General features: G+C 37.0%; 1 long non-coding RNA gene across 1 annotated transcript in view, besides 1 other annotated feature; it reads left to right on the forward strand.

The window, feature by feature from the left end:
* LOC107986178 (uncharacterized) overlaps positions 1 to 27,577 on the forward strand; it is a 245,894-nt gene that overhangs the window by 142,772 nt on the left and 75,545 nt on the right. The gene's annotated exons all lie outside the window — the stretch shown is intronic.
* Positions 11,673 to 12,872: an enhancer, noted in NCBI's record as "CDK7 strongly-dependent group 2 enhancer chr4:11700041-11701240 (GRCh37/hg19 assembly coordinates)". NCBI's record gives its function as "activates an origin of replication core promoter dependent on BRD2, BRD4, P300/CBP, MED14 and CDK7 cofactors, with strong dependence on CDK7, by STARR-seq in HCT116 cells {active_cell/tissue: HCT116}" and the evidence as "EXISTENCE:reporter gene assay evidence [ECO:0000049][PMID:35650434]".

The raw sequence follows: 27,577 nt of genomic DNA on the forward strand, positions 1-27,577 counted from the left end.
GTAATGTGGCCCACAGAAAGTTATTGGATGAATGAATACATGGGTGAGTTCTCTGAGGCAGTCCCTCTTGAGGGGTTTTTGAAAGGGCAACAGTGAAAAAAAGGTCAGGAAGAGTGCTACTGTCTACAAAAGCAGTGGGATATTCTCTCATGCTTTTTACCTTACAAACCATTGCTCTCATATGCAACAGCAAATTCATTTTCTTGTCATTCCCTAGACCAATGTGATGCTTCGTTAACTGCCCATGTACTTTGTGTTTTCATTGTTGGAGACTTTCCTTCCTTTGAATTATACAAAGTAGTATAGCAGTCCCATGAACCCTTGGTACTCCCAGCTCTCCAGAATACATTTGAACACCCTTCCACACCATCAACACACACACACACCTGGTCTGGGATGGTTTCCAACATAGCAAGATGCCATCTCTGCAAAAACAAACAAACAAATAGCTGGGTGTGGGGGCACATGCCTGTAGTTCCTAGTTGCTTGGGAGGCTGAGATGAGAGGATCACTTGAGCCCAGGAGTTCAAAGCTACTGTGGGCTATGATTGTGCCATTGCAATCCAGCCTGGGTGACAGAGCAAGGCCTTGTCTCAAAATAATAATAATAATAAAAATAAAGTGGTGCTGGAACAACTGGGCATCCACATATAGGAAAAAAGAAGAATCTAGATACAGATCTTCTGCCTTTCATAAAAATTAACTGAAAATCAATCATAGGCCTAAATATAAAATGCAAAACTGTAAATTCCAGAAGATAACAATAGAGAAAAACTAGATCACCTTGAATGTGGTCCTGACTTTTTAGATACAACATTAGAAGCATAATCCATGAAAGAAAAAAAATCATTATAAGTTGGACTTCAGTAAATCGTTTAAAACTTATATTCTGCAAGATAATTGTTAAGAGAATAGAAAGATGAACTAAAAACTGGAAAATATTTGAAAATGCCTATTACATAAAAAGGACTAGTAATCAAATTATACCAAGAACTCTTTGAAACTCAACAATACAAAATTAAACAACCCACTTAAAAATGGGGAACAGGCAGCTCACTGATATGCAGATGACAAAAAAAAACAACACTTTAAAAGATGCCCAACATCATATATCATCAGGGAATTGCAAATTAAAATAAGATACCATGATATCCCTACTAGAATGGCTTATATTCAAAACGCTGACACTACCAATTTTAGCTAAGGATGTGGAACAATAGGAATTCTCATTCATTGTTGGTGCAAATGCAGAATTGGTACAACCACTTCAGAAGAAAGTTTGTCAGTTTCTTATGAAACTAAAGAAACTCTTACCATGCAATCTAGCAATTTAGCTCCTTGAGTTTCACTCAAATGAGTTGAAAACTTATGTCCACACAAAAACTTGCACACATATGTTTATGGAAATTTTACTTTTATTTTCCAAACTTGGAAGTAACCAAGATGTTCTTCAATACATGAATTAATGTATGTGGTACATCCATACGATGGAATATTATTCAGAGATAAAGGGTAATGAGCTATGAAGCCACAAAAAGACATCGAAAAACATTAAATGCATATTGCCAAGTTAAAGAAAACATTCTGAAAAGGATATTGTATGATTCTAACTATATGACATTCTGGAAAAAGCAAAATTACGAATACAGTAAAAGTAGTGATTGCCAGGGGTCAGGGGAGAGAGGGAGGTATGAAGAGAAGGTGGAGTGCAGGATATGTTTAGGGCAATGAAACTATTCTGATGATACTATAATGGTGGATACATGTCATCTTACATTTTTCAAAAACCATGGAATGTATAACACCAATAGTGAACTCTATCTAACATGAAGTATGAACTTAATATATCAATATCAGTCCATCAATTACAGCAGATATACCTTATTAATGCAATATATTAATAACAGGGGATACTGAGGGGACGGGTGTGAAAGTATATAAGAGAACACCTTGGATTTTTACTCAATTTTTCCATAAATCTAAAATTTCTCTAAACATTAATGTCTGTTGAAAGCACTACAAACTAATTCACCAAAATAGTCAGGCAACCATACCTTTGTAGTCTGAAGCTGATTATATCTGTATCTAAGAAAACTGCTCCTTGGAGAATTTATACTGTGCATTTTATAACATTGTAAAAGTCACACATATTCAGAAAAGCAAAAAGGAAATAAAAATAAAATTCTCATGGAATACTACCACCCAGATACAAGGAACATTATGTTGGGTGAATGCTTAGAAATTAATATTATGTATTTCTTTGGGCACTATGTATTTCTGACATTTAATTTGATAAGATCTTGCCTTAACAGTGTGTAGGCATCCTGACACCAAAGACTGCATTTTTCATAAAGTTTATTTCACAGCACCATGCATAAAGTATCTGGTAAATACATTTTTCCTAATTGATTAATCCATGGGGTACCTCTTTGCAGACATGCTTCAGCGATAACAGTTCCTCCTGCCTTCAGTCTCATATTTGAGTTTAGGGTCAACTGAGTGAAAAGAAAGTGGTTGGATAAGCAGAGAGCTCCACGATTGTCTCAGAAGTGGGATAATGGAATGGAAAGACCTAATCAAGCAGGTTCTCATTCAAGACTCCCCCTTTTCTGGGCACAGTCCTAAAAAATAATTCCTCTAAGCCTCAGTCTCCTCTTTATAAAACGGGCAATTATTAAAAATGCACCTTCCTGTTCGCAGTAAATCCAGTAATCCTTAATTTTTCATCTCCATACCTTTCTTTAGCTAACATAGGCGATCTAAATCTCTTTGGTAGACTCTTGCAAAAGTAGTTAAATAGTTTTATTTTTACTCTTCATTCCAGTTTAAACTGCTCTTTCTGACCGAATACGCTGCAGAGTTGAAGGCCTGCTATTTATAAACAGCGTGACTCTCCTATTTTCAAAGGGACTCTATTTTTAACTTTCGCAAAATCACCAAGATTTTGTGTCTGTTAAAAGAAAAATCATGCAGCAGAGATTTTTAAAGTAAAGAGTGGGATGCAAAACTATTTCCTAGAGAATAAAAGCACACACTTTTAATTTTTAAAAGTACTTTATAGGAAGCTAGGTAACTAGATTATCTACCAGAATGTTAGATCTGAGAGGGAAACAACAAATTATCTGGTTCACACCTTCTATTTATGGATGTAGAAATTGAGTGCTAGAGAGAAACCTTGTTCAAGGTCGCTCAGCTACCTACTACGAGAACTAGAATTAACACCAAAGGGTCTTAGTCTGTTTCAGCAAAGACAAATAAATAAAATGAACACTGAATGAAGATAACTACTCATGAGATAATGTTATTAATAAGTCATGGTTAAATACACAATTTCACTATCCTCTTTCCTGATACCAGTGAGGGAAGATTTCCTAATACTGGGACCTCTGAATGGGACTTATTTTCCTAAGGGATAGCTTTAAAGTATATATGTAAGTTGGGAAATATTTATGTACAGTTTTTCTCTGAACCTTTCTTTCCATGTGCCAAAGAAGTAATAGTACAGTGTTCCAGCCATATTAGGCATCTCTTTCTTTGTACACTTTCTTTATTCTTCTACGTAAATGCTGGATTCAGATTTATGCTTGTATAGGGGAAGGCATAGGCCAGTCTAGAGTTAACATGGGCACAAGTACACTCTCCCATGATTTCTACTTCTCTGTATTCACCTTTGTTTCCATCACTGCTCTGTGAAATACTTTGGATGGTGAGTTTCAAGTTTAAGCTTAGAGAGAATGAAGCTACCCTGGTCTTAATCCTCAATAAACTCTGTCTCCACACAGTGCATCAGACCTCACTATGATCTCTTGCTTGGGACAAAGATCCAGCTACTGGTAAAGTGTTGTTCTGCCTTTTATTTGCCTTATTATTTAGAGCAATGGTTTGCAGAAAGAAGCAGGTAACAAAGACAGGGTATTAGTGTTCCTAGATTACCTGGACTAACTCCTTCTACCATATTAAATAATCTTAAATAACCTCAAACTTACATTAGATCCAGTTGGGTCTCTTACATGGAGCACCTATAATGAATTCATTAGACACTGTCTGAGCTGTGTTACATGCATTCTTTCTAATCCTCAATAGCGCCGGAGGAAATAAAACTCTGAGATTAAGGAGTAAAATTCTAGACTATTAGGTTGCAAAGTGTTCTTACTTCCCAACACTAATGGATAGAAACAAAGGCTGATACTTAACAAAAGGATAGATTGTATTTAATATTTAATTTACAATTAATTTATTCAAATTCATTTTTAATTCAACCAACACCACCAGCAACCCTAACAGCATTTGTTAAGGATAATATTATCCATTTTACAGTTGTGGAAATTGAGGCATATGAAAATTATATGAGTTGCTCAAAGTCCAACAGTTTCGTTGAGACATAACAGAGGCTGAAGCCCAGGGATGGCAATTTCATAAATAACTCTTCCATAACAGCAGCACTCTAGATTTGGCTTGAGCAATGATTGATGCTCCCTTTGAGAAAGTGCTTTATAAAGACACACACATTTGTGCATGGTGTGCCTGAAGTTCTGGGAATGCACTACAAATAGGGTAATCAGGCAAAGTCACAGAGAGCCAGCTCAGGAAGAACTAGGAAGTTATTAAGATTTCTCTATCCTGGCCATGTCATGGTCGGGAATAAATAGCAGCTTTCAATAGGGATGTCTGAAAAACAAAATCGGAAGGAGGTGTTGTGACTAAGGTCTTATAAATCCCAAGGCTTTCCTGACCAAATGGAAGTTCATGTGCTGGGTAAACAGAAAAAGTCTAGTGACAACCAAAGTATGTGATTGAAAGAACTACCAGCTACAGTCAATAAAGGTGATTTATTTAAAGTCAATTACTTGAAAGTCAGCGGAATCAGTGTTGTTTGTTTTACCTTGAGTACTATGCCCTGTCTTTTCTGCACTGGGAAAAATGAAAAGGACCCAGGTAAAATGTCACTTCTGTGAAAGCTTTGCTCATCCCATAGTTAGTTACTCCGTTACATATCTTGCATATTACTCTGTATTATAAATATAATAATTTACTAATCATTCTCTGCCTGAGTTAGTTTGGTTTCTACCAGGGAAGTAGCCCTACTATAAGTAATATGAAATAGAGGATTGATTTTGGGGGTAAGCCACACATAATTGTGGGAGGTGAATAAGTCTGAGGAAAGTTGTTCCTTCAGCATCTGGCAGTAGACCTAAAGTCATTGAAGGTCAGCAAAGCCATCAGTCGGGGAAAAAATATAAAAGTGAAATTGGGGACGGAAAGGAACAACTGGAATCTGTAAAGAAAAAAAAACCTATGAGGGAAACTGGAACCCACATCTGCACTGCCTCCAACATCAGCAATGCAGTTGGCCATGAAAAGAAGATGATGTCCTTTGCCACAAGGCTAAATGCTAATCTGGTTCAAGACTTAGAGAAGATGAAAGAGGAAATCCAGTAAAAGTGGTGGAGCTACTCCAAGCCCAGCTACTGTCCCATGATAGCAATTAAATCTAAACCTCAGCAATAACATGGAAACATGCAATGTTTTTGTCACCAGAAACCAACATTTGCTGGGTAATAATGGCTCTTTCACTTCCACATTCTACATCATGATTAACTTTCCTTGTGTCAAACCTAACCTGGATTTGTATAAGGAAAGGGATTCTGGAAAGGTACAGCTTAATTAAGTTGACATGGTAAAAAACAAAACAAAACAAAAAACAAAACTATTTTAGACTATAATCTCAAAGAGATGCTGCATGCCTTATTTTTTGTAACATCTAAAAGTGCATAAATTTGTTTCTGAAAGATGGTTGCAACTTGTGAAAGTTTAAAAAAATCAGCCTCCAAATTATGTGACATGCAGTGTCGTCTATGTATCCTCCACTTGAATCTGTGATCAGCTATTTCTTGACCAATAGAATATGGCAGAAGTAACGCTGTGCCCATTTTGGGGGTCAAGGCCTAAGGAAAGGCACTTTTCACTTCCTGCTTCTTGGAATATTTGCTCTTAGAACTCAGCCATGCTGGAAGAAAGCCCAAGCTACATGGTGAGTCCGTGTATAAATGATCCACCTATTAGCTCCAGCTGGAGTCCCAGTGGATCACCTGCTGGACATGAAAGTGCAGAGGCCTTTGCAATGTCTTGTACTTAGCAACTGTCTGGCTAAAATTGAAACATTAACTTCGGGATAATTTGTTATAAAAACATATTTGGAATAGATTACAATACTAAATATGGTATACTACCATATTTTTAAAAATTGACATTGGCTTTGAGATTGAGCAATGGGGAGGAGATAGAAAGACCTTGAGGAGGCTGCTAGTAAAAGCCTAAAATATTTCAAGAGGGCTGTCATAGAGGGCTTAGAGGAAAGTAAGAATGGGATAATGTTTCTGGAAGCTGGAGGAAAGAGGATACTTGTGTGGTGGCAGAAAGTCTACCAACACTGTCACTTGTGTTAATGTCATAATTAGGAAATTCAACTAAAGATCTCAAGGATCTAGTTAAGATTTCCAGCCAGTGTGTTGGTAAAATGCTAAATAAAAAGCGTTTGGGACTTGCTGTATTTTAAATTAAAGCTATTTTCAATTCCCAGTCTCTCCAGACAGCAAATGATTCTAAAATTACACATGGCTTAGGTCAAAGATCAAATACAGGGTAGGATGTTCTGTCACCTGATAATAATTTAAGCAGTGGCTCATGAAAACTTTCGAACACTTAAAAGAGCCTTTGAGGATTTTAAGTTGACAGCTCACAGGTCCTTTCCATTAAACAATAGGGCTTCCGAAAATTCATTTTCTAACAGCAGCTTCACAAGAAACTCAAGGTGGAGAAGAGCTTTCCTAAAAGAGCTTTGTGATTTGGCTAAGTCTAATGGAGTGAACCCACATAAGAGTAAAAAAAAATTCACAAAGATTTTAAAATAAATTTCTGGTGGAAGCACCACCTACTTGGAAAAAAAGAAATAGAGGCTGTATAAAATGAAAACGGTGTTGGGAAGCAGGCTGAGAAGTCTCATTCGTTGCAGAGTCAATTTTCTTATGCAAAATGATGAATGACTTATGGGAAGGAACCATGAACTTTGAGCACAGAGCCAAAGTTTGGGAGAATCACTGTTATGAAGGAGGAAAGGGCCCTACAGAACATGTGTCTGGCTGGATTTCAGAATTGCTATGGACCAGTAACTGTCTGTGCTTTCTGTTTTCTCTCTTTTTCTAAGACAGAGTCAGTAGCAGTTATTCTGTATCTGTTCCACAGTTGGATTTTGAGTGTGGTGTGGAGAAGGGATTGGGGGGAGAGGTCAGATAACTTGTCTCTAGTTTATACATTTTTAGATTGAGAGAAACCAGAAGCCAAGGATCTGCACTTTAGGAAACTAATTTAAATAAAAACATTTGAACCTTGAGGATGAGTCTGACACCAATATGCTATTAAATTCTTAAGAGATCTTGGGGATGAGTATATTTTGCGTTTTGGAGAAACGTTCATAATTTGAAGTTGGTGGCCAGACTCTAGTGGTTTTAAAAACTTACTGTGATATTCTTTGATATTTCTCCTATTGAGCAATGGGGTCTATGTTCCCTTGAAACTGGGCTCTGTAACTGTGCTTCTAATAGATTACAGCAAAAGGGACCCTCTGACACCTTTCAGGCCCAGGCTACAAGAACTTAGCCACTTTGACTTCCTGCTCTTGGGATAGTGGCTATTGGAACCTAGGTACCTTGTTTTAAGGATGCACCAGTTACATGGTAAGTCTGTAGGTAGGTGTTCCATTCCCAGTTTTGATCCCTGCCTGTAGTCAATATCAACAAGCAGGCATGTGTTATAGAGGCTTTTGGCATAACTCCAGTACTACTCACTGTCTAGCTAAAAATGCACAAAAGTAAGAAGCACCAAACTGAACATAATCAAACCCCAGAATTTTGAGAGATACTAATAAATAATTGTGATTATTTTAAGCCTTAAGTTACGAAGAAATTTATTATACAGCAATAGATAGCTAGAGTAGCATTTAATTATGTCTCACGAATGAATGAAATAACTAATGATAAACTCAGGAAGTTTTTTTTTTTTTTTTTACTAGTAATCATATTTTATGGAATGCTTAATGTCCTGGTGAAGAAATTGAATACTCAAAGGTCAACTAATTTTTTTCTAAGACATGAAATTAAGTTATTTTCTTTAATTTTCCATTCTCATCCATTTCCTACTGTAGCATTGAGAAACCGTATTTATCACAAATGACACATTGATTAAGAATTTTTTTTTATTATACTTTAAGTTTTAGGGTACATGTGCACATTGTGCAGGTTAGTTACATATGCATACATGTGCCATGCTGGTGCGCTGCACCCACTAACTCGTCATCTAGCATTAGGTATATCTCCCAATGCTATCCCTCCACCCTCCCCCCACCCCACAACAGTCCCCAGAGTGTGATATTCCCCTTCCTGTGTCCATGTGATCTCATTGTTCAGTTCCCACCTATGAGTGAGAATATGCAGTGTTTGGTTTTTTGTTCTTGTGATAGTTTACTGAGAATGATGATTTCCAATTTCATCCATGTCCCTACAAAGGACATGAACTCATCATTTTTTATGGCTGCGTAGTATTCCATGGTGTATATGTGCCACATTTTCTTAATCCAGTCTATCATTGTTGGACATTTGGGTTGGTTCCAAGTCTTTGCTATTGTGAATAATGCCGCAATAAACATACGTGTGCATGTGTCTTTATAGCAGCATGATTTATTGACCCAGTAATGGGATGGCTGGGTCAAATAGTATTTCCAGTTCTAGATCCCTGAGGAATCGCCACACTGACTTCCACAATGGTTGAACTAGTTTACAGTCCCACCAACAGTGTAAAAGTGTTCCTATTTCTCCACATCCTCTCCAGCACCTGTTGTTTCCTGACTTTTTAATGATTGCCATTCTAACTGGTGTGAGATGGTATCTCATAGTGGTTTTGATTTGTATTTCTCTGATGGCCAGTGATGATGAGCATTTTTTCATGTGTTTTTTGGCTGCATAAATGTCTTCTGTACTGGTACCAAAACAGAGATATAGATCAATGGAACAGAACAGAGCCCTCAGAAATAACGCCACATATCTACAACTATCTGATCTTTGACAAACCTGATTAAGAATTTTGTCTGTGATTTTCATCATGCTAATATGGACTGGTCTTTCTGTTTGAGTGTTGAAAATGTAATCTGGATGCACTAGGAAATAAGTAGAATATAAAAGATTAGCTAGATTTGCTAAAAAAAATTTTAATATATACATAAATTTGTGACTCAGTTGTCTTTGTTTTATTGTGAATCAAGTGATGACAATAAATGTTTATTATATACATTTTTTTTCCAGGATGCAACATTTAAAATATACTCTTTTCCTCCAGGACTCAATCTTCCAATTAGGGATCAAGATTAAAAAAAAAAACACAAAATAGGTTCATACACAGTGTCATGTACAGAAAGGTAAATTATACTCAAAATCAGAAAACTTTTGACCTTGATCAAGGATTGGCAAAAAAAAAGAGTCAGATAGTAAATAGTTTAGGCATGGCAAGACCTACCATCTCTGTTGCAGCTCCTCATCTCTGCTGTTCTAATGTGAAAGCAGCCATAGACAGGAGGCAAATGAATGAGTGAAGCTGTGTTCCCTTTAAACTTTATGTTCAAAAGCAGGTGGCCAACTGGATTGAGCCTGCTGGTAGTAGTTTTCTGCCTCTTGTTTTAGACTTTGCATTGCCATTGGTTAGTTGTGTAACCCAAGGATACATCAAGCTCAGAGCTTCATTTCTCTTATCAGTAAAGTAAGAATAATAGTAGCAACTTCCTTGACATTCCCAGTACGAGGAGAAATAAGAAAATACTTGTGAGCTTTTTTGGAACTGTCTACTGTGTGGTAGACATGTTAAGTTACTTGCCATTATTATATTTATTTCAGGTCTCCTGGCTCTATTCTTTTAGCTATTTTTCTATACCTTTTTGTGAAATGGGAAATCATGGTTACTCCTTTTCATTTTGGGTTGGCAAGAAATTTTGGGGGTATGGGCATCTCTGGCCCTCTTGGACTTGATATTCTAAGCAGCATCTTCATTCCATGGCTTTTGATATGCTATTTTATCAATTGTCCTTCCCTGCCCCTGTTATCTAAATTAGCTGTCACCACTTTCTTTGTTATACCCTACTTCATTTTCTTTATAGTACTTATCACAGAAATTATCTTGTTCTTTTAAATCTTAGCCTCATAATTATCTGTCAGCTCCATTATGATATCAATTTGATTATTTTCTGATTCACTTAGTAATATATCCTCAGCACTGATGAATGTACTTTGCCATATATTACAAATTTGACACACATTTTTTGAATGAATTAAATGAATGAAATGTGCAATATTATCTCATCCTATAGGCAAAAGTAGAAGTTCTTCTGTGTATCTGGCCTGGCCACTCTAGTTTCTGGAGTCTGGATCAGATATTTTACTTTCATATCACTTAGCAGATTACATATATCTACTATAATATTTAAGATTTTATAAGAACATTGATGGAAAGTCATTGGAAATGCTTTCAGTATTAAACAAAAATTATGCACTGTGCATTTCACTTGAGCATAATAATCTATCTGGTGCTTAATGATATTATTTACAGACAGTGTCTCATTTCTGCTTATTTGGTTGTTATAGTTCAGCAACAGTGTGCTTTGTCAGCTGCATATCTGCAGACGGTCTGCCAATATGGTCTTTTCCAAATGCCTTATATACTGTAGTTGCCAATCTTCTGTGTATGTCTCTCTCTCTCTCTCTCTCTCTCTCTCTCTCTCTCTCTCTCTGTGACTTGATTCTCTTTAGGAAGGTAGTGAGGCTCAGGGACCACTTTTTTTTTTTAATCGAACATGCACTAGCCAAATTGAGTTTAAGCTGAAGACTGCCTTTTGCAGAGAGACATAGATACTGTTGCACCATGTAACACCGTCACTCACTGATACTGGATAAAGCAGGTCAGAATTTCACTCAGAATCCATTTCAGCACCAGTAATAGGTTGGCACAAAAGCCTCAGCATTCATTACATGCTTACTGAACCTAACACAGATTTTCTGAGGGACGCTGAAAAATAGAAACAAGGGCAGGTTGCTCAGTCACCTTTAAATCAGATTTTTTAAAAAGTTGGATTCCTAAAAGCTAAGGAGGTGTAGGTCTTCACGAAAGGTGTAGAAAATCTGCTTTGTGTCTTTTCCATCTTTAAATGTTTATGATCCAGTGAAAAGTCAGATGTTTAGGGTTTTCTTCTTTAACAGAACTGTGGTGAAGAGGCAATGGCTTTAACATAGATTATATGTGAGTTCCATGTAGTTAGAGAAAGCAAAGAAAATTGTTTTTTATATGTTCTTGCCTTTTTTTTTTTTTTTTTTGGCCTCCTCTCTGTTTCTAATTTAATCTGGCAGCACTCTCTGAAGGTGTGGTAAGAGATAAAGCGTGACGGTTGTTTGGGCTGGCTTGCCAAGTGATTTGAAAGGCTTCTTAAGGATTTTGAATGCTGTCTTGAAGGTAACTGGTAGACACTGACAGGTTTTAGGCAGTAAATTACTTTGTCAAATTTACAATTTAAAAGCTACCTCTGGCTACAGTGTGGGAGATAAATTGGAGTATGCTGAGAATAAAAGCAAGGAGAAGATTTGGGAGCCTGCTGCCACTGTCTATAAGAACCATAGTATCTCTGAAATAGCAAACAGGAATCCTGTGAAGAGAGTGGGGAAGGAAGAGCCCAGTGTTGAGAAAAGTGGTTTTGGGGAAAACTCTTCTCAGTGGTGGCTTTTGAGCAGAGCCTGGCGTCTACCTTGGTTTACTAGTATGTCCCGAGCTCTAACTGCTACCCACTGAAATACTACCACCCTAAGGTAGGGAAGAGTCTGCAAAAGTTAACCTGATCAGTATCTATTCTGAAATAACTAAAAGGAAAATTGCTTTGAGTCTTAGCTTGGTCCGAAGAAGCTCAGTTCAGATGTTTGCTAGTTCTTTATATTCAGATTGTGAATACGACTCAGTGTATTTAAGGGAAACACACACACACACACACACACACCCAACCTGCAAGTCCCATGCATTGTGTGTTAAATATGGAACTGGCTGGCACAACCACCAAGATGGGAGTCATCCACCCCTGTAGATTACTACCTTGGACGCTGCTCTTTTCAGATCCTATACTTTATCTTCCCTAACAGTCATTGGAATGTCACTAGAACTTGATGAGGGCAGGGCAGGAAGCTGAGTCAAAAATCTCAGGAAAGCTAAACCACAGTAGAATTTATAAACCTTAGGATTCATATCTTAGGTGGGGTTGGGCTGTGTGATCTAAAATGGGAAGCGCTGACTCACTGCATTTTGAATAATGACTGGAGGCTCATCTCACAGTATGCCACTTCAATTACAACTGAGGGCTTCTGAATCTGATTTCTAAACACCATGGTCTTGCATCATACACAAATTTGATTTATACGATTAAACTATGCATGCTGGCATATAATGACAGGATAATAATCATGCTGTTGATAATAATGATAATGAAGAGGGAGAGAGATGGAATATGACAATGAATAGAGCACAGGTGATTCTACCCCTCGTTTATCTGTTCCTCTGAATATGTCCTTGATTGTGACAAGTGAGAGAGGAATGTGCTGTTGCTTCAGTTGTCTGATTCTTATAGTAAATATTCATATTTTTTCCTGTTTCACATGTTCCTTGGAAGAAAATTAACAACGTCTTCTATGCTGAAGGAAACAGAGACCAATTTGTATGTACACAGGAGGGAAAGCTGATTGTGTTAGGCAGATAAAAAATAATAGTGTTTAATTTTGTACCTTCTCAAAAGACTTTGGGGAGTCATTTCAACTTATACAATTTTAATTGTATTTGTTGATTTCAGAACCTAATGTTATTAAGACAAGGTTAATAGGCTTTTACATATCTGCTACAGACTTTTGGGGTGCTCTTCATTTTCCGTATCACAATTGATTGTCATGAACTCTGAATTAGAGCAGATAATATTTCCATTTTGCAGATAAGAACCCTGAGACTCAGAGAGATAAGAAAATTATCAACCAAGTAACAATTCAGAGCTAGGACCATCATTAGGATTTCATGGAAGTATCTTTTACTCTCCACCTGATGTTCTGATCTAGAATCTTGCTTTACAGCCCTGAAGGTTTCATCCTCCGCTTGAATGAGTTATGTTTAGGTTCCTATCTTCGAAGGGCATATTGTTCCCAGGAAACCAGTCCTTAGAACCCACACATGATGACTTTTACTAAGACATCTATTGAATGGTCTCAGTTAGAAGCCTAACTAAGTCCTTATTTTAGAAATCAGCCATATGAAATCAAAGTCAGCAAGTTTTAGTAAGAAGAAAAGTCAAAAATGAGGCCATCTTAGAAGACTGTGTTCTTGACTTGGCTCTGTCTCTGTTTAACTTATGTAATTCTGGGGAAGTCATATGCCTCAGTTTCCTCACTGGTACATGGAGAAGTAATGTCCTTCTGGCCTATCTAGTAGAATGATGTGGTATTTAAGTGAGATAGCATTTGCAAGACTGTTTCATAAAGGTAGGGTACTGTAACGTAAAAGATCTAACCACCTGTAAGGGATACGTTACCCAGAATCCACTTTGGCTCTTCTGACCAGTGTCTTTCCCACCCCTGGAAGGCATCTTTTTTTCAAATTTCCCTTCCTTAGAGTGCCATGCAGCAGCAGCAGCAGGAAGAAACAGCCACAGATATTTGGAAAAGAATAGAAAAATAGAACTCTCTCTTAAAACTTACTTGGAAGCTTGCTATTCATTCATTCATTTGTTCATTCATTTATCTCTTCATCATATATTTAATGAGAACCTATTATGTAAAAAGCTAATATATGGAAATGAAAAAAGTCTCTGCCTCAAAAGACATTGTCTAGCAGAGAGAGTATGCATGTACGTAAGCTACTTAAACACAGGTTAATATGAGTGTCCATGGGTGGGCGCGAGTGTGGGTGCATGCACTTCTTAGGAATAAGCTATTGTGAAATGATAGGTCACAGCTGACCAGACTGGCAAGGCTTTCTTGAGAAGGCCACCCTTCTATGGAATCTGCAGGATAAACATAGTAGTCCAGAGAAAGCAGAAGAGAAATGAATCCCAGGAGAACATAATCCCTGCTTCCTTCTTATGAGTAATGATGATGCCAGAGTAGCAAGTTTGAGATGTCTGTGCATTATGACATTGAATCCTCATAAGCCTCCTGGAAAGTAAGTATTGTACTGTTTATAAGAACAAGAACACATTCAGGAAAAGTAACATACCTGGGCTACTCAGCGGGTGAATGGCTGGAATTTGCAACCAGATCTTTGTGAAGCCCAAGGCCATAATGTTAACCACTATGATTCAAAATTTCCAAGCAGACACTCCAAAGTATCTTGTTTAGAATGGCACAATCAGAAAGTGGTCAAGCTGGAAATCACAGCCACTTCTGTCTGGCTCCAAACCTTGTTCCCTAAACTCTCTGCTGATCTGGAAACACATGTGCAAATGCTAGAATTTGAGAATATCCCTTTTTGGAGGCCAAAACAATTCTGTTAATTTGCTAGGGCTGCCATCACAAAGGACTACAGATTGGGTTGCTTAAATAACAGAATTGTATTTTTTCACAGTTCCAGAGGCCAGAAGTTCCAGATCAAGGTGTCAGTAAGGTTGGCTCCTTATGAAGATTTTGAGGGAAAATCAGTTATGTGCCTCTTCCCTGGCTTCTGATGGTTTTCTGGCAATCTTCTGTATTTCTTAACTTGTTAGGAGCATCACCGCAATCCTTGCCCCCTTCATTTTCACATAGTATTCTCTTCGTGTGGGTGTCTCTGTGTCTAAATTTCCCCTCCTTATAAAGACACTGTAGTCTTGGATTAGAGGCCTGCTCTACTCCAGTACAACCCCATCATAACTAAATATATCTGTAATGACACTATTTCCAAATATGGTCCTATTCTGCGGTATTTGGTGGTAAGACTTCAACATATGAATTTCGGGGGACACAATTCAACCTTTAACAGTCACCCTCCATTGTTGAAGCACCCAACGCATGTAGAAAATTTGCAGGAAATTCAGGCTGAGAGACAAATGAGCATCCCGAAGATCTTATTGTAGTCTCCCTAAGGACTTGGTTCTGTATATGACAATGAACAGAATTTTCTGTTTACAGAGAGAAGACTCAGCTTGCGAGTCTTGGGCTGCAGCTGCTTCCACTAAAGTAAGAGTGCTACCCTTAAACACATCACAGCCTTGGTTCCTCCCCTCCCCAGGTTTTGCAAGGACACAAACAGGAGAACTTGACTGACAGCCATTATGCATAATTGACTAAGCAAGAATCTAACTACTGGCTTGCTCTCCCTCTGCATATAGGATCCTCACGGGGGCGCCGTTCCAGGAATACGCCTGCCAGGCCCAGTCCTGGGCCACCTGTGTGTCTTGAATCATTCATTACCAGGTGTCCTCAACTCAACTTGCAAAATTGAAGTGTCTTAAGCCAGTTAAAGAACTCTGCAAAGAAGAGGCATGGTGCATCCAGTAAAGCCTCGTGTGAGAGGGACAATGATCAGGTTCAGGCTTTGGGGTAAAAAGAATGAGCTTCAGTTGGAGTGACACTCCGGCTTGCTCTTGTCAGGACATCACCCCACATTACCCTTCATCTTCTGTCTCCCACAGAAGGCCTCGCTTCCAAGCTGGATTTGAGTCACTATCATTATCCTCTGAACAGACTTTCTCACAGTTCTTTTTTGCAGACAGTAACATACTGGGGTTAATTTTAGATATCACCAACTTGGAGTTTATTTTGGATTCCAGAAGTTTACATTTAGGTCTGCTAAAACGCACAACCTGCAGGGGTGGGTGTATGTGTGTGTGCGTGTGTGCGCGTGCGCGTGAAACCCATCAACTTTCTTTAATAACTCTGAATATGAGTTATTTCAGAATATTTTCAATGGATTGCTAATGTTGTGCCAAAATTAAAATGAAATTTTAAACCAAAAGAACTTACAGATGAATTGCAGAGCTCGTTTGCTTTTTACCACATTCTTTCAATTGTGATTTTTTTATCCATATATATGTGCGTGTGTGTGCATATATATATATATATGCCACACTTTAGTTTCTAAAGCTTTATTTTTGGTCATTGTAAGAAACAGCTTTGGCTGAGTGTGGTATGTTCTCATCTTCATAACAATTCTGTAGGTTAGGTCAGTTTCTTAGAAATTAGAAAACAGGCTCAGAGAGAGATGACTTAAGTTGCTGAAGGCCATTTGGCAGGAGAGTGGCAGAGCAGGCATTGCCATGATGCTTCCTTGTTTCAAGACTTGTGTTGTTTTCATTACACACTATTTCCTCAGGGCTCTGTGGTTAGGCACAGTTTGCAGAAGGGCACTTCCTAATGGAAGCTCCCAAACGACCCTGTGTGCCACTGTGTGGAGCTGAATGAATCTGTATGATGGATAGGATCTTCAGATAGGTTGAAAAAGTTAAAATACGAACTCCTCAGACACATTCCACCAAATAGTATTTGGCAACAAGCACTGGGAATGCAAATTTTCTGTGCGCATAACCCACACATTTGCAATGATTGGTCAATGATGTTATGTACAGACATAGCAGAACTATCATTAGATTTGAATGTAGAATGCCTGGAGTTTTGCTCTGGCTCTGTTATTAGCTGGGTATTTTAAAGCAAAGCAGTTCATCTCTCTAGGCCTTAACATCTGCATTTGTAAAATGAGGAAAAAATCATTTCATTGTGAGAATAGCATGTCAAATATTTGAAAGCACTTTACAACCTATGATAAGGTATAAATGAGGCTTTAGTCTTCCTGAAAAGTCAGACGTAGAATAAACTTTCACTTATTGAATCACATTTTCCTCCAATAAGTTCCATCATTTCAATGAGCTGTTCAAAAGGGGAAAAATATGTGGGATTTAACATGGAATAAGAATAACATTTAAGAATGGCTTAATACTGGATTCAGAAAGGATTTATCTGTTACGGTTCCATAGTTTCTGTGCCTGCCATTTTCCTTCAATGGTCTAGCAAAGAATTAATGACACTCAAAATCAATCCACTTGCACTTTGTGCATATTTTAAATATCCATTAAAACAAATAGAACCAAGTAAATAAATATTTTTCTTAATACTGCTACCAACTGCAGTTTTATTAGCTATAGTCACACTTAACCTTCAAATAGCAGGCCCGGGGTCTCCTAATTTCTTAGTCAATCTTGGCAAAGCCTGACATTATATAGGAGGCTTGGCTAGGTGTGATTCACAGTTGATTATTGGTTCAAATCCAGAGATTGTAACATTAAATTTCGTACTATAACTCCAAGTGCCTATGGGTAAGCCTCCTGTCTACCTTTCTGAGCACAGCCTACTTCCCTATACCCCTTCAAATGTACTTTCCCCATCTCTTGAATTTCTTGATTATCTTTTCAGGTTTTTCCTGAATATAAATTCCTTGTCTATTACCCAGACCTCGAATCTAGGTCTCATTACCTCATTTCTTTGGCACTTCATACCACTACTTGTAACCTCTGGCATTACCTTGCAATACCCAGTGGAATCCTTTTCCAAATTAGACAGGCCACCTTGAGCAAGAATCAGCCTTATCTTGAAAACAAGACTTCTCAGATTCTCCCTGATCTGTATCTTCTTTTCTAATTCTTCTGGACTACATTATGACCTGGATCCCACCTCTTCTCATTTATTCAAGTTTTTCACTTCAGCAATTCTTTCCTGTCCTGTGTCATCACTGTTGTTTTCTTTCTGTTAGATCATTCACATCAACATACCAGCATTCAGTATTATCATAAAACAAGAGGACAAAATCTTTGGTTTCATATGCCTTCTGGCTCCTGTCCCATTCCACTGCTTGTTTACAGTAAAGCTCTTTAAAAAGTGTTTTCTTTACTCACTCTTCATTTACATGTCTCCTTTTTCCTGAACCCATTATTAACCCACCAGATCTTGAAAATGTTCTTGTCTGTCACTTAGTGCCTTGTCTATTACTAAGTCCAGTGGCTAATATTCTCCTTGCATACCCTATCAGCAGCATAACACAGTGGTCTATCTCATCTTAGACTATATTCCTTTTTTAGCTCTCCAGAGACCACTGTCAATTCTCTTTGTACCTTACTTTTCCTCCTCACTTTCCTCTACTAGTCTATTTTCATTTCTTCACTCTCTACACACAAGATTGCCAATGGGGTTAGACCTGGTTTCTCCTTCTCTCTTTCTCTTTCTTTATCTCTCTCCACCCTGTCAGATTAATTGTGATGCCACTGTAATGCCATTTCTAGTCAGAATAAAACTCACCTTTTCTTGATGTTTGGTTTATAACATTTGACAAACACACACATTCATGTACTCACCACTACAAAGGAGATGTAGAACCCTAAAAAGTTCTTGAATGATCTGTCGGAGTCATTCCCCTTCATCTCTGCAAGTCCATTGCAGTAACTGATATATTTTTATATGTCCATCGTTTTCATTCTCCAGGATGTCATGTAATCAGAATCATCAGGACCATATTGTAGCTCTAAATCTGGCTTCTGTTTAATGCAGTGCATTTGAGATGCATCCATTTTTTTTTCATGTATTCTTTGCTTGCTAAATCCGATTACCTTATATGGATTTACCATATTCTGTTTATTCCCTACTTGATAGATATCTGGGTTGTGTCTGGTTTTTGGCAATTATAAATGAGCACTTTCACATACATTATTTGTTTTTGTTTGAACATATATTTTCATTTTTCCCTGATAAATACTTAAATGCAGTAGAATTAATAGGGAATATTATACATCTGTGTTCATAAGAAAATACCAAACTGTTTTCCTAAGTTGTTATACCATTTTTCATTCTCACTAACCACGAGAGTTCATGTTGCTTTATATTTTTATATTATACCATTTTTACACTCTCACTAGCCATGAATGAGAGCTCGTGTTGCTTTAAATCAGCTTGGTATTGCCAATTTATTTCATATATTAGAATTGACTTTAAATATTAGAATTGGTATATTGTGCTAACCCAAAGTTATACAAGTTATACAGATTATATTCTTTTTTTCTAAGTGTTTTATAGTTTAAAGTTATATATTTATATCTATGATTAATTTTGAGTTTATTTTTTATATGGTGTGATCTATGAGTAGAGGACTTGTTTTGCCCTATTTTTTGTTTGTCTGTTTGCTTGAGACAGAGACTCGCTCTGTCGCCCAGGCTGGAGTGCAATGGTGCGATCCTGGCTCACTGCAACCTCCGCCTCCCAGGTTCAAGCGATTCTCCGGCCTCAGCCTCCTGAGTAGCTGGGATTACAGGCATGCTCCATCACGGCTGGCTAATTTTTGTATTTTTAGTAAAGACAGAGTTTCACCATGTTGGTCAGGCTTAATGCACAGTTGCTCCAGCCTTATTTATTGAAAAGTCTAACAATTTTCCACTATATTGTCTTGTATTTGTTGAAAATAAATTGACCAGATATAAGTAGGTCAATTGAATCCCATTGATCGTACATTTAGTCTTTAATTCAGAGCTTAGCAAAACCTGCCCCATTGCCTCTTTTTATGTGATCCAAAATTTAAAAATTTCTTTTACATTTTTAAATAATAAGAAAATCAAATGATGAATAATATTTTATGACACTTGAAAATTGTGTGAAATTCAAACTTTAGTTTCTATAAAGTTTGATTAGAACATACTCATGCTTATTGGTTTATATATTGTTTATGGGTGCTTTCACATTAAATAGCACTAGAATTGTGACAGAAAACCTATGGCCCACGTAGCTAAAATATTTACTCTCTGGTATATCAATAAAATATTTACCAACTCCTATTTTCAATGATACCACACATTCTTTTTTTTTTTTTTTCTTTATCTTGAGACAGAGTCTTGTTCTGTCACCCAGGCTGGAGTGAGGTGGTGCAATCTTGGCTCACTGCAAACTCCGCCTCCCGGGTTCAAGCGATTCTCCTGCCTCAGCCTCCTGCGTAGCTGGGATTACAGGCGCCTGCCACCATGCCCAGCTAATTTATGTCATTTTAGTAGAGATGGGGTTTTGCCATCTTGGCCAGGCTGGTCTTGAAGTCCTGACCTCAGGTGATCCACTCGCCTTGGCCTCCCAAAGTGCTGGGATTACAGGCATGAGCCACCACACGTGGTCCACATTCTTGATTGCTGTAACTTTACAATCAGTTTTTGAAATCCAGTAGTGTGAGTTCTCTGTCTTTGTTCTTTATCAGAGTTGTTTTAACTATTTTACTTTTATTTTCCGTATAAATTAAAGTTAGTCAATTAAATATGTATATTTAATTGACATTTATATAAATTTATGTAGTTTTATATAAATTTATATAGTTATATATAAATTTATTTATATATCAGTGGGAATATTGATTCTGAATGTGCTGAATCTGTGGATCAATTTGGGTAGACTGACATCTGAACAATATTGAATCTTTCAACCCATGAGCATGGTGTAGTTCTCTATTTCCTTAGATCAACATTGTTTACTTTCATTAGCATTTGTACTTCTCAGTACAAATGTAAATCTTACATATATTTTCATTAAGTTTTTCCTAATAAGAGCTGATGCTTTGATGCTATTGTAAATAGTGCTGTTTTGTAAATTTCAATTTTCATTTGATCACTGCTAGTATAGAGAAATACAATTGATTTTTCTATATTAATCTGGTATCCTATGACCTTGCTAAAATCATTTATTACTGCCAGTAGCTTTTTTTGTAGATTCTTTGGGATTTTTTATGTAGACAGTCATTTTGTCTGCAAAGAGAAATAGGATAATTTATTTCTTTTCATTTGGTATGGCTTTTATCTTTTTTTTTCTTTTTTAATTTTTTACTTTAAGTTGAAGGATACATGTGCAGAACATGCAGGTTTGTTACATAGGTATACATGTGCTGTGGTTGCTTGTGGCACCTATCAACCCATCACCTAGGTTTTAAGCCCTGCATGCATTAGCTATTTGTCCTGATGCTCTCCTCCCTCTCCCCCCATCCCCCAACAGGCCCTGGTGTGTGTTATTCCCCTTACTGTGTCCATGTGTTCTCATTGTTCAACTACCACTGATGAGTGAGAACATACAGTGTTTGGTTTTCTGTTCCTGTGTTAGTTTGCTGAGGATGATGGCCTCCAGCTTCATCCATGTCCCTGCAAAGGACCTGTTCTCCTTCCTTTTTATGGCTGTATAGTATTCCATGATGTATATGTACCATAGTGTCTTTATCCAGTCTATCATGGATGGGCATTTGAATTGTTTGTGTCTTTGCTATTGTAAATAGTGCTGTGATAAACATACGTGTGCATGTGTCTTTATAGTAGAATGATTTATATTGGGTATATACCCAGTATTGAGATTACTGCATCAAATGGTATTTCTGGTTCTAGATTCTTGAGGAATCATCACACTGTCTTCCACAATGGTTGAACTAATTTATATTCCCACCAGCAGTCTAAAAACATTTCCTGTTTCTCCACCGCCTCGCCAGCAACTATTGTTTCTTGACTTTTTAATAATCACCATTCTGACTGGCATGAGATGGTATCTCATTGTGGTATTGATTTGCATTTCTCTAATGATCAGTGATGTTGAGCTTTTTTTCATATGTTTTTGACAACATAAATGTCTTTTTTTATTTTTGAGAAGTGTCTGTTCATGTCCTTTGCCCACTTTTTGATGGGGTTGTTTTTTTTCTTGTAAATTTGTTTAAGTTCCTTGTAGATTCTGGATATTAGACCTTTTCAGATGGGTAGATGGCAAAAATTTTCTCTCATTCTGTAGGTTTCCTATTCACTCTGATGCTAGTTTATTTTGCTGTGCAGAATCTCTTTAGCTTAATTACATCCCATTTGTCTATTTTGGGTTCTGTTGGAATTGCTTTTGGTGTTTCCATCATGAATTCTTTGCCCATGCCTATGTCCTGAATGGTATTGCCCAGATTTTCTTCTAGGGGTTTTATGGTTTTGGGTTTTACATTAAGTCTTTAATCTATCTTGAGTTAATTTTTCCGTAAGGAGTAAAGAAGGAGTCCAGTTTCAGTTTTCTGCATATGGCTAGTCAGTTTTCCCAGAACCATGTACTGAATAGGAGATCCTTTCCCCATTGCTTGCTTTTGTCAGGTTTGTGAAAGACCAGATGGTTGTAGATGTGTGGTGTTATTTCTGAGGTCTCTGTTTTGTTCCATTGGTCTGCATGTCCAACTGTAGCCATGTAGTATAGTTTGAAGTCAGGTATCATGATGCCTTCAGCTTTGTTCTTTTTGCTTAGAATTATCTTGGCTATATGAACTCCTTCTTGGTTCCATATGAATTTTAAAGTAGTTTTTTCTAATACTGTGAAGAATGTCAAAGGTAGTTTGATGAGAACAATGTTGAATCTATAAATTACTTTGGGCAGTATGGCCATTTTCATGATATTGAATCTTCCCATCCATGAGGATGGAATGTTTTTCTATTTGTTTGTGTCTTCTCTTATTTCCTTGTGCAGTGGTTTGTAGTTCTCTTTGAAGAGGTCCTTTATGTCCTTTGTTGGCAGTATTCCTAGGTATTTTATTCCCGTTGCAGCAATTGTGAGTGGGAGCTTCTTCATGATTTGGCTCCTTTTGAATTATTTCATTTGGTAAAAACATCAGTAGGATGTTGAATAGGAATTGAGAGACCAGTCATCCTTGTATTGTTTCAGTGTTACAGGGAAAACAGTCAGTCTTTCACATTAAGAATGTTCTTAGCTAGAGAGTTTGTAGGTGCTTTTCATCAGATTGATAAAGGTTGCTTAATATCTATTTTTCTGGAGGCTTTTAACATAAATGGATGTTGAATTTTATGAAATATTTTGTCTATTTCTTGAGATCATATTTTATATATAGTCTTAATATGAAAAATTACATTGATTATCAAGTGTTAAAACAAACTTACATTTCTTGGTAAAACCAACTTGGTCATAAGTTTTATCAGATTTAAGGTCTGTGTTGATGTTAATGAAGGAGGGTATAATGAGGCATGGCTGATGCCCACTTCAGGGCATGGCCTGAACCAGTATTTCAGGTTAAATTTTAGAGTGTCCTGACTGAGGAGGAAGTTCATTCAAATGGTTGGGGAGCCTTAGAATTTTATTTTTGGTTTGCACTTTTCAAACACTCCTCTCCTCCAATAACATCATTTCTGAACTTCTTTTGATTAACGGTTTCTTTCAAAGCTTCTATTATTTTCTCAATTTCTTTAAGTGTCTTTAAAATAGTTCGCAGATAAAAATCTGTTTTATAGATATATATTCTGGCAGAATTTCATTGTCTGTACAGACTTTGTTCTGCTCCTTGTATTTTCTTTTTCTTACAATTTCTTCATATAGAATTCTTTTATGTTTCTCATTTTACATAAAATTACTTTTCCAGTACTTTTTAAAGGAAGACAGTGGGATAGAATAGCTGTTTTAAGGTTTACTGCCCTAGAGCGTCTTCTTTTGCTGTTATTTTTGTTGTTTATATTTTGATATAATAAAAAATGGCTTTATACTTTCTGATGGTATCTTCCAATATTTTGGGGGTATTCTCTTTTCTTTGTCCCTATTTGGCCTGTTTTGCTCAATTTGTATTCTTCCTTCAGCAATTATTTCTTAGCATATGGCTTTCTTCTAGTATGGAGCTTCAAGTCATTAGTTTAGAGTATACACAGGTCTCAGACCACTCCAACGCATTACTGTAGAACGCTTACTTCACCCCTATGTTGAAGTCTATGGAGCACACTTCCTGTATTGGTTACTGTACTCAGACTTCCCAATGATTGCTTTTGGTGACTCAGTGAAGCACTGTTTAAATTCCTCTTCAGGAATGAAAGATTTATTCTTTCAGCTGCTGAAAGTATTGCTAAAAGATGGGCCTCCATCTGTTAGGACTGACTGTGGGGATTGCCACAGCTAAAATAATCTTACTCACCCAAGGTCATAAAGCTTTGTAGGATTAGCTCATACTTAATGGCTAATCAATGTGGAAAAATAATAACGTCCAGGCAACCTTGCCCAATCTTAGAACAACTGTAATTATCTATTCCAACTCCAGAGCTCCCAGGAGATTTGCTGAAGCCCTCTTTAGAACTGTATTACAGCTCCACTCCCTCTGCCCAGTGCTACTTCTCTTCCCTCCCTTCCACAGGCATGGATCCCAAAAGCACTTCCTAAAAAAAGCCTGTTATGCAAATATCCCTCTCATTGTCTTTTTTTCCTGGTAATGCAAACTGCAACAATACCTGTGGCAATTTTGCAGCTCTTCTCTTTTGAAGCTTCCAGGTGCCCCATTTTTCTCTCTTCTTTCTATGACACAGATGCTAGTGTCACATGAGTCTCTTTCTACCACACAGATGCTGTGTCACATGAGTCTCACAGCTGTTGGTTGTTTGTCCACACCTGCTTACATTTTGGGGATTTATGGGGCTATCCAATCACCCAGTTTTATTGAAAGTTGTCCATTCGTGTTTGTTTAGGTATTTTAGTTGCTCTCCTTGTTTTATTTGCGGATGGGGAGATTTAGATTCTGGGCCGTCTAAAAACTATATTGCCTCTACTGCTATTTTTTTCCACAGCATTATTTCTCACTGAACAATACTTTTGAAAGTATGTTTATAAAAAGAAGGGTGAAAATTAGGTGATGTCCTCAAGAGGAAGCAGACTTAGAAGACATTTTTGGGTTAAGGAATAGCCATTAACTGTATTCCTTACTTAATGCTGGATTTGGTGCTAAGGAGATATAGAAATATCACTGAATATGCAATCATAAGACCTGAGTTCATGTTCTGGTTTTGCTAGGTGACTTATAACCCAGTTAGCAAATTGCTAATTCCAATTAAATATACATTTCACTATCTGTGAAACGGAAATATTAATACCATCTTTGCCTCTACCACAGAATTGTGAGGCTAAGAATGCAGTATTTCAAGTGGAAACCCTAAATAAACATGAAATAAGAGGAGCTTTCTGTATGAAAGTCATGTAGGATGTGCACAATTTAACAAATAAAACCACTGATGAAACTGACACAAAGCCAATAAGACAAAACACTAACTGGCATGCATTAATTCCAGCAACATAATTTGTGATGTATTCCAAGTGGGATGAACGAAAATAGTTTGGGACTTTTCAGTTTTACCATCAAAGCCTCCAAAAGGTTCAAAGAAACAATTTTTAGAGGTTAGTCTATGAAAAGCATACTTGACTGATGCTGTTGATTTCAGAATGCAAATATATTTTTTTCGGCATAAGGAAAGAAGATGAATGAAGAACAAAAACAAAAGAGCCCATTTCTTCCGTAAATCTTTTAGTGATCTTGCAACAATGAGGACTTTTTCTCCTGGGGAGACAGGGTTTCTAGGAGGAAATATGAAAAGAAAAATTAAAAGGAAGGAAAAGTAACACAAAACAAAATAACCTTAGGGCTCTGAGATATGCCTTCATTTTTGGCTCTGTTTTATTTCTTAATTGTTGTTTATTTCTTTTTTTTTCCACAGTCAATTTTCTGGGAAAAGACAGAGCTTTTTACAATGTAGGCACTCAGTCTCGATCAATATTTATTGTAGCATGTGTGGTTGCAAACATTTTTGCATAGCAATTTTGCAAATGATTTTTTAAAATAACCCATGGTTAGGTAACCAAAGGCAGGATTTTGAGGCAAAATAAATAATTTTACTAAGGAATATTGGTGAAAATCATACAAAAATAACCCCTCCAAATCATGGGGTTTGATACTATAGAACCACATATGATTTCTGATCATTATTTGGAACTATTAAGATTGAATGAATAGTCGACTTTGAGGATTTTTATATATAATATTACCTGGAAACATTGTTTTCTTATACTAGAACTATTGCATTTACTCAGCAGGATCATCAATGCATAGCACAGTAGATATAACCTAACAAGGTGTCACAGGTAGCTAAGGCTACTGTAATTGGGATTAAGGCATAAGGGTTCAAGTACAGAAACAATAATATGTGTGGCTTGTTGGAAATACTGTGCCTATATAACAAAAAACAAAAGTGGGCCAGGCGCTGGTGGCTCACGCCTGTAATCCCAGAACTTTGGGAGCCCGAGGCGGGTGGATCACGAGGTCAAGAAATCGAGACTATCCTGGCCAAAATTGTGAAACCCTGTCTCTACTAAAAATACAAAAACATTAGCTGAGTGTGGTGGCACGCACCTGTAGTCCCAGTTACTCAGGTGGCTGAGGCAGGAGAATCACTTGAAGCCAGGAGGTGGAGGTTGCAGTGAGCCGAGATCACGCCACTGCACTCCAGCCTGGGTGACAGTGTGAGACTCTATATAAGAAAAAAAAAAAAAAAAAAGAAAGAAAAAAAGTGACTATCCCCAAAAAAATCATAGAGAGAAGCAAGATATCACTCAGAGGAAGATAGAGCAGTCATGGTAATGCCTAAAGGGCTCTTTTTACTGCCCCTTTTTCTCATTTCCAAGAACACCAAAAGTCGGGGATGGGCTACAAAGTAAGAGAAATAATCTAGAACATAGAAGTGAGGACATGCTACAGAATTAATCTAACTAAGTCAATAGGCTCAAAAGACTTTCATATGATCCTCAGTGGAGAAGTAGAGGAAAAATAAGGTCCCAAGAAAAGGAAACTCTTCAGCAAAAAATTAAAAACATACCTTAGCTTTAGATGATTTTGAGTTCAGGTGTCTAGTCTGTGACAGATAAATTATATATCTGATATTTATTTTAAAGTCTTGAAGTTGATATCAGAGAAACATTGGCAATGATTAGCCAAGAATTCTGGGGAAACAGATTCTTGAAGACTTGGTGAGCAAATTTTTTTTTTTAATTTTTAAAAAGGTGACCACACAGATATCAAATATTCAGTGCTAGTGATTTGAAACAAGTATTTAGCACAATGCTTATCACAAAATAAATGAGAAATAAAAATTTATTGAATTATTAAACAAATCAATACCTGATAAAAGGCAGGAGCCATTAAAACACAGCACTGGTTCATACAGAAACTAAACCTACTAGAATTTTTGACAGGTATTTTAGACTCAGAAATAGATACACATTTTTTAACCTGGATTTAAGAAGCCATTTCCAAAAAATCTCATGAGTCCATCATGTTCAAGATCTAGAAATGTGCATTAAGTGACAGTGTAATAATTGGTTTCATGGGGGATTGCATAAATCATAAGGTAAGAATTAATGAATCAAAGTAAAATTGACAGAGTTCCCTAGTAATGCATCTGATGGTCTTGTCTTTAACCCTGCAGTATTCAACATTTTAATTAAACCCAGAAATGGTTATAGGAACATAGATAGTCACTGATGTCATGCAACAAGGACTATTAAGTATCCCGCATGATAGAATCAAGATTCTCCAAGGTCCTGATGGTGACTTTCAAGCTAACAAAAAGAAAAAGAAATCATTCACATTTAATTTTTTTAATGTAAATAAGAATTCCTGAGTTTAAGTTGGATCTCTTCATGCTCCTATATCTTATCTACCT

Source organism: Homo sapiens, chromosome 4, assembly GCF_000001405.40.
Source record: "Homo sapiens chromosome 4, GRCh38.p14 Primary Assembly".
NCBI lineage: Eukaryota > Metazoa > Chordata > Mammalia > Primates > Hominidae > Homo > Homo sapiens.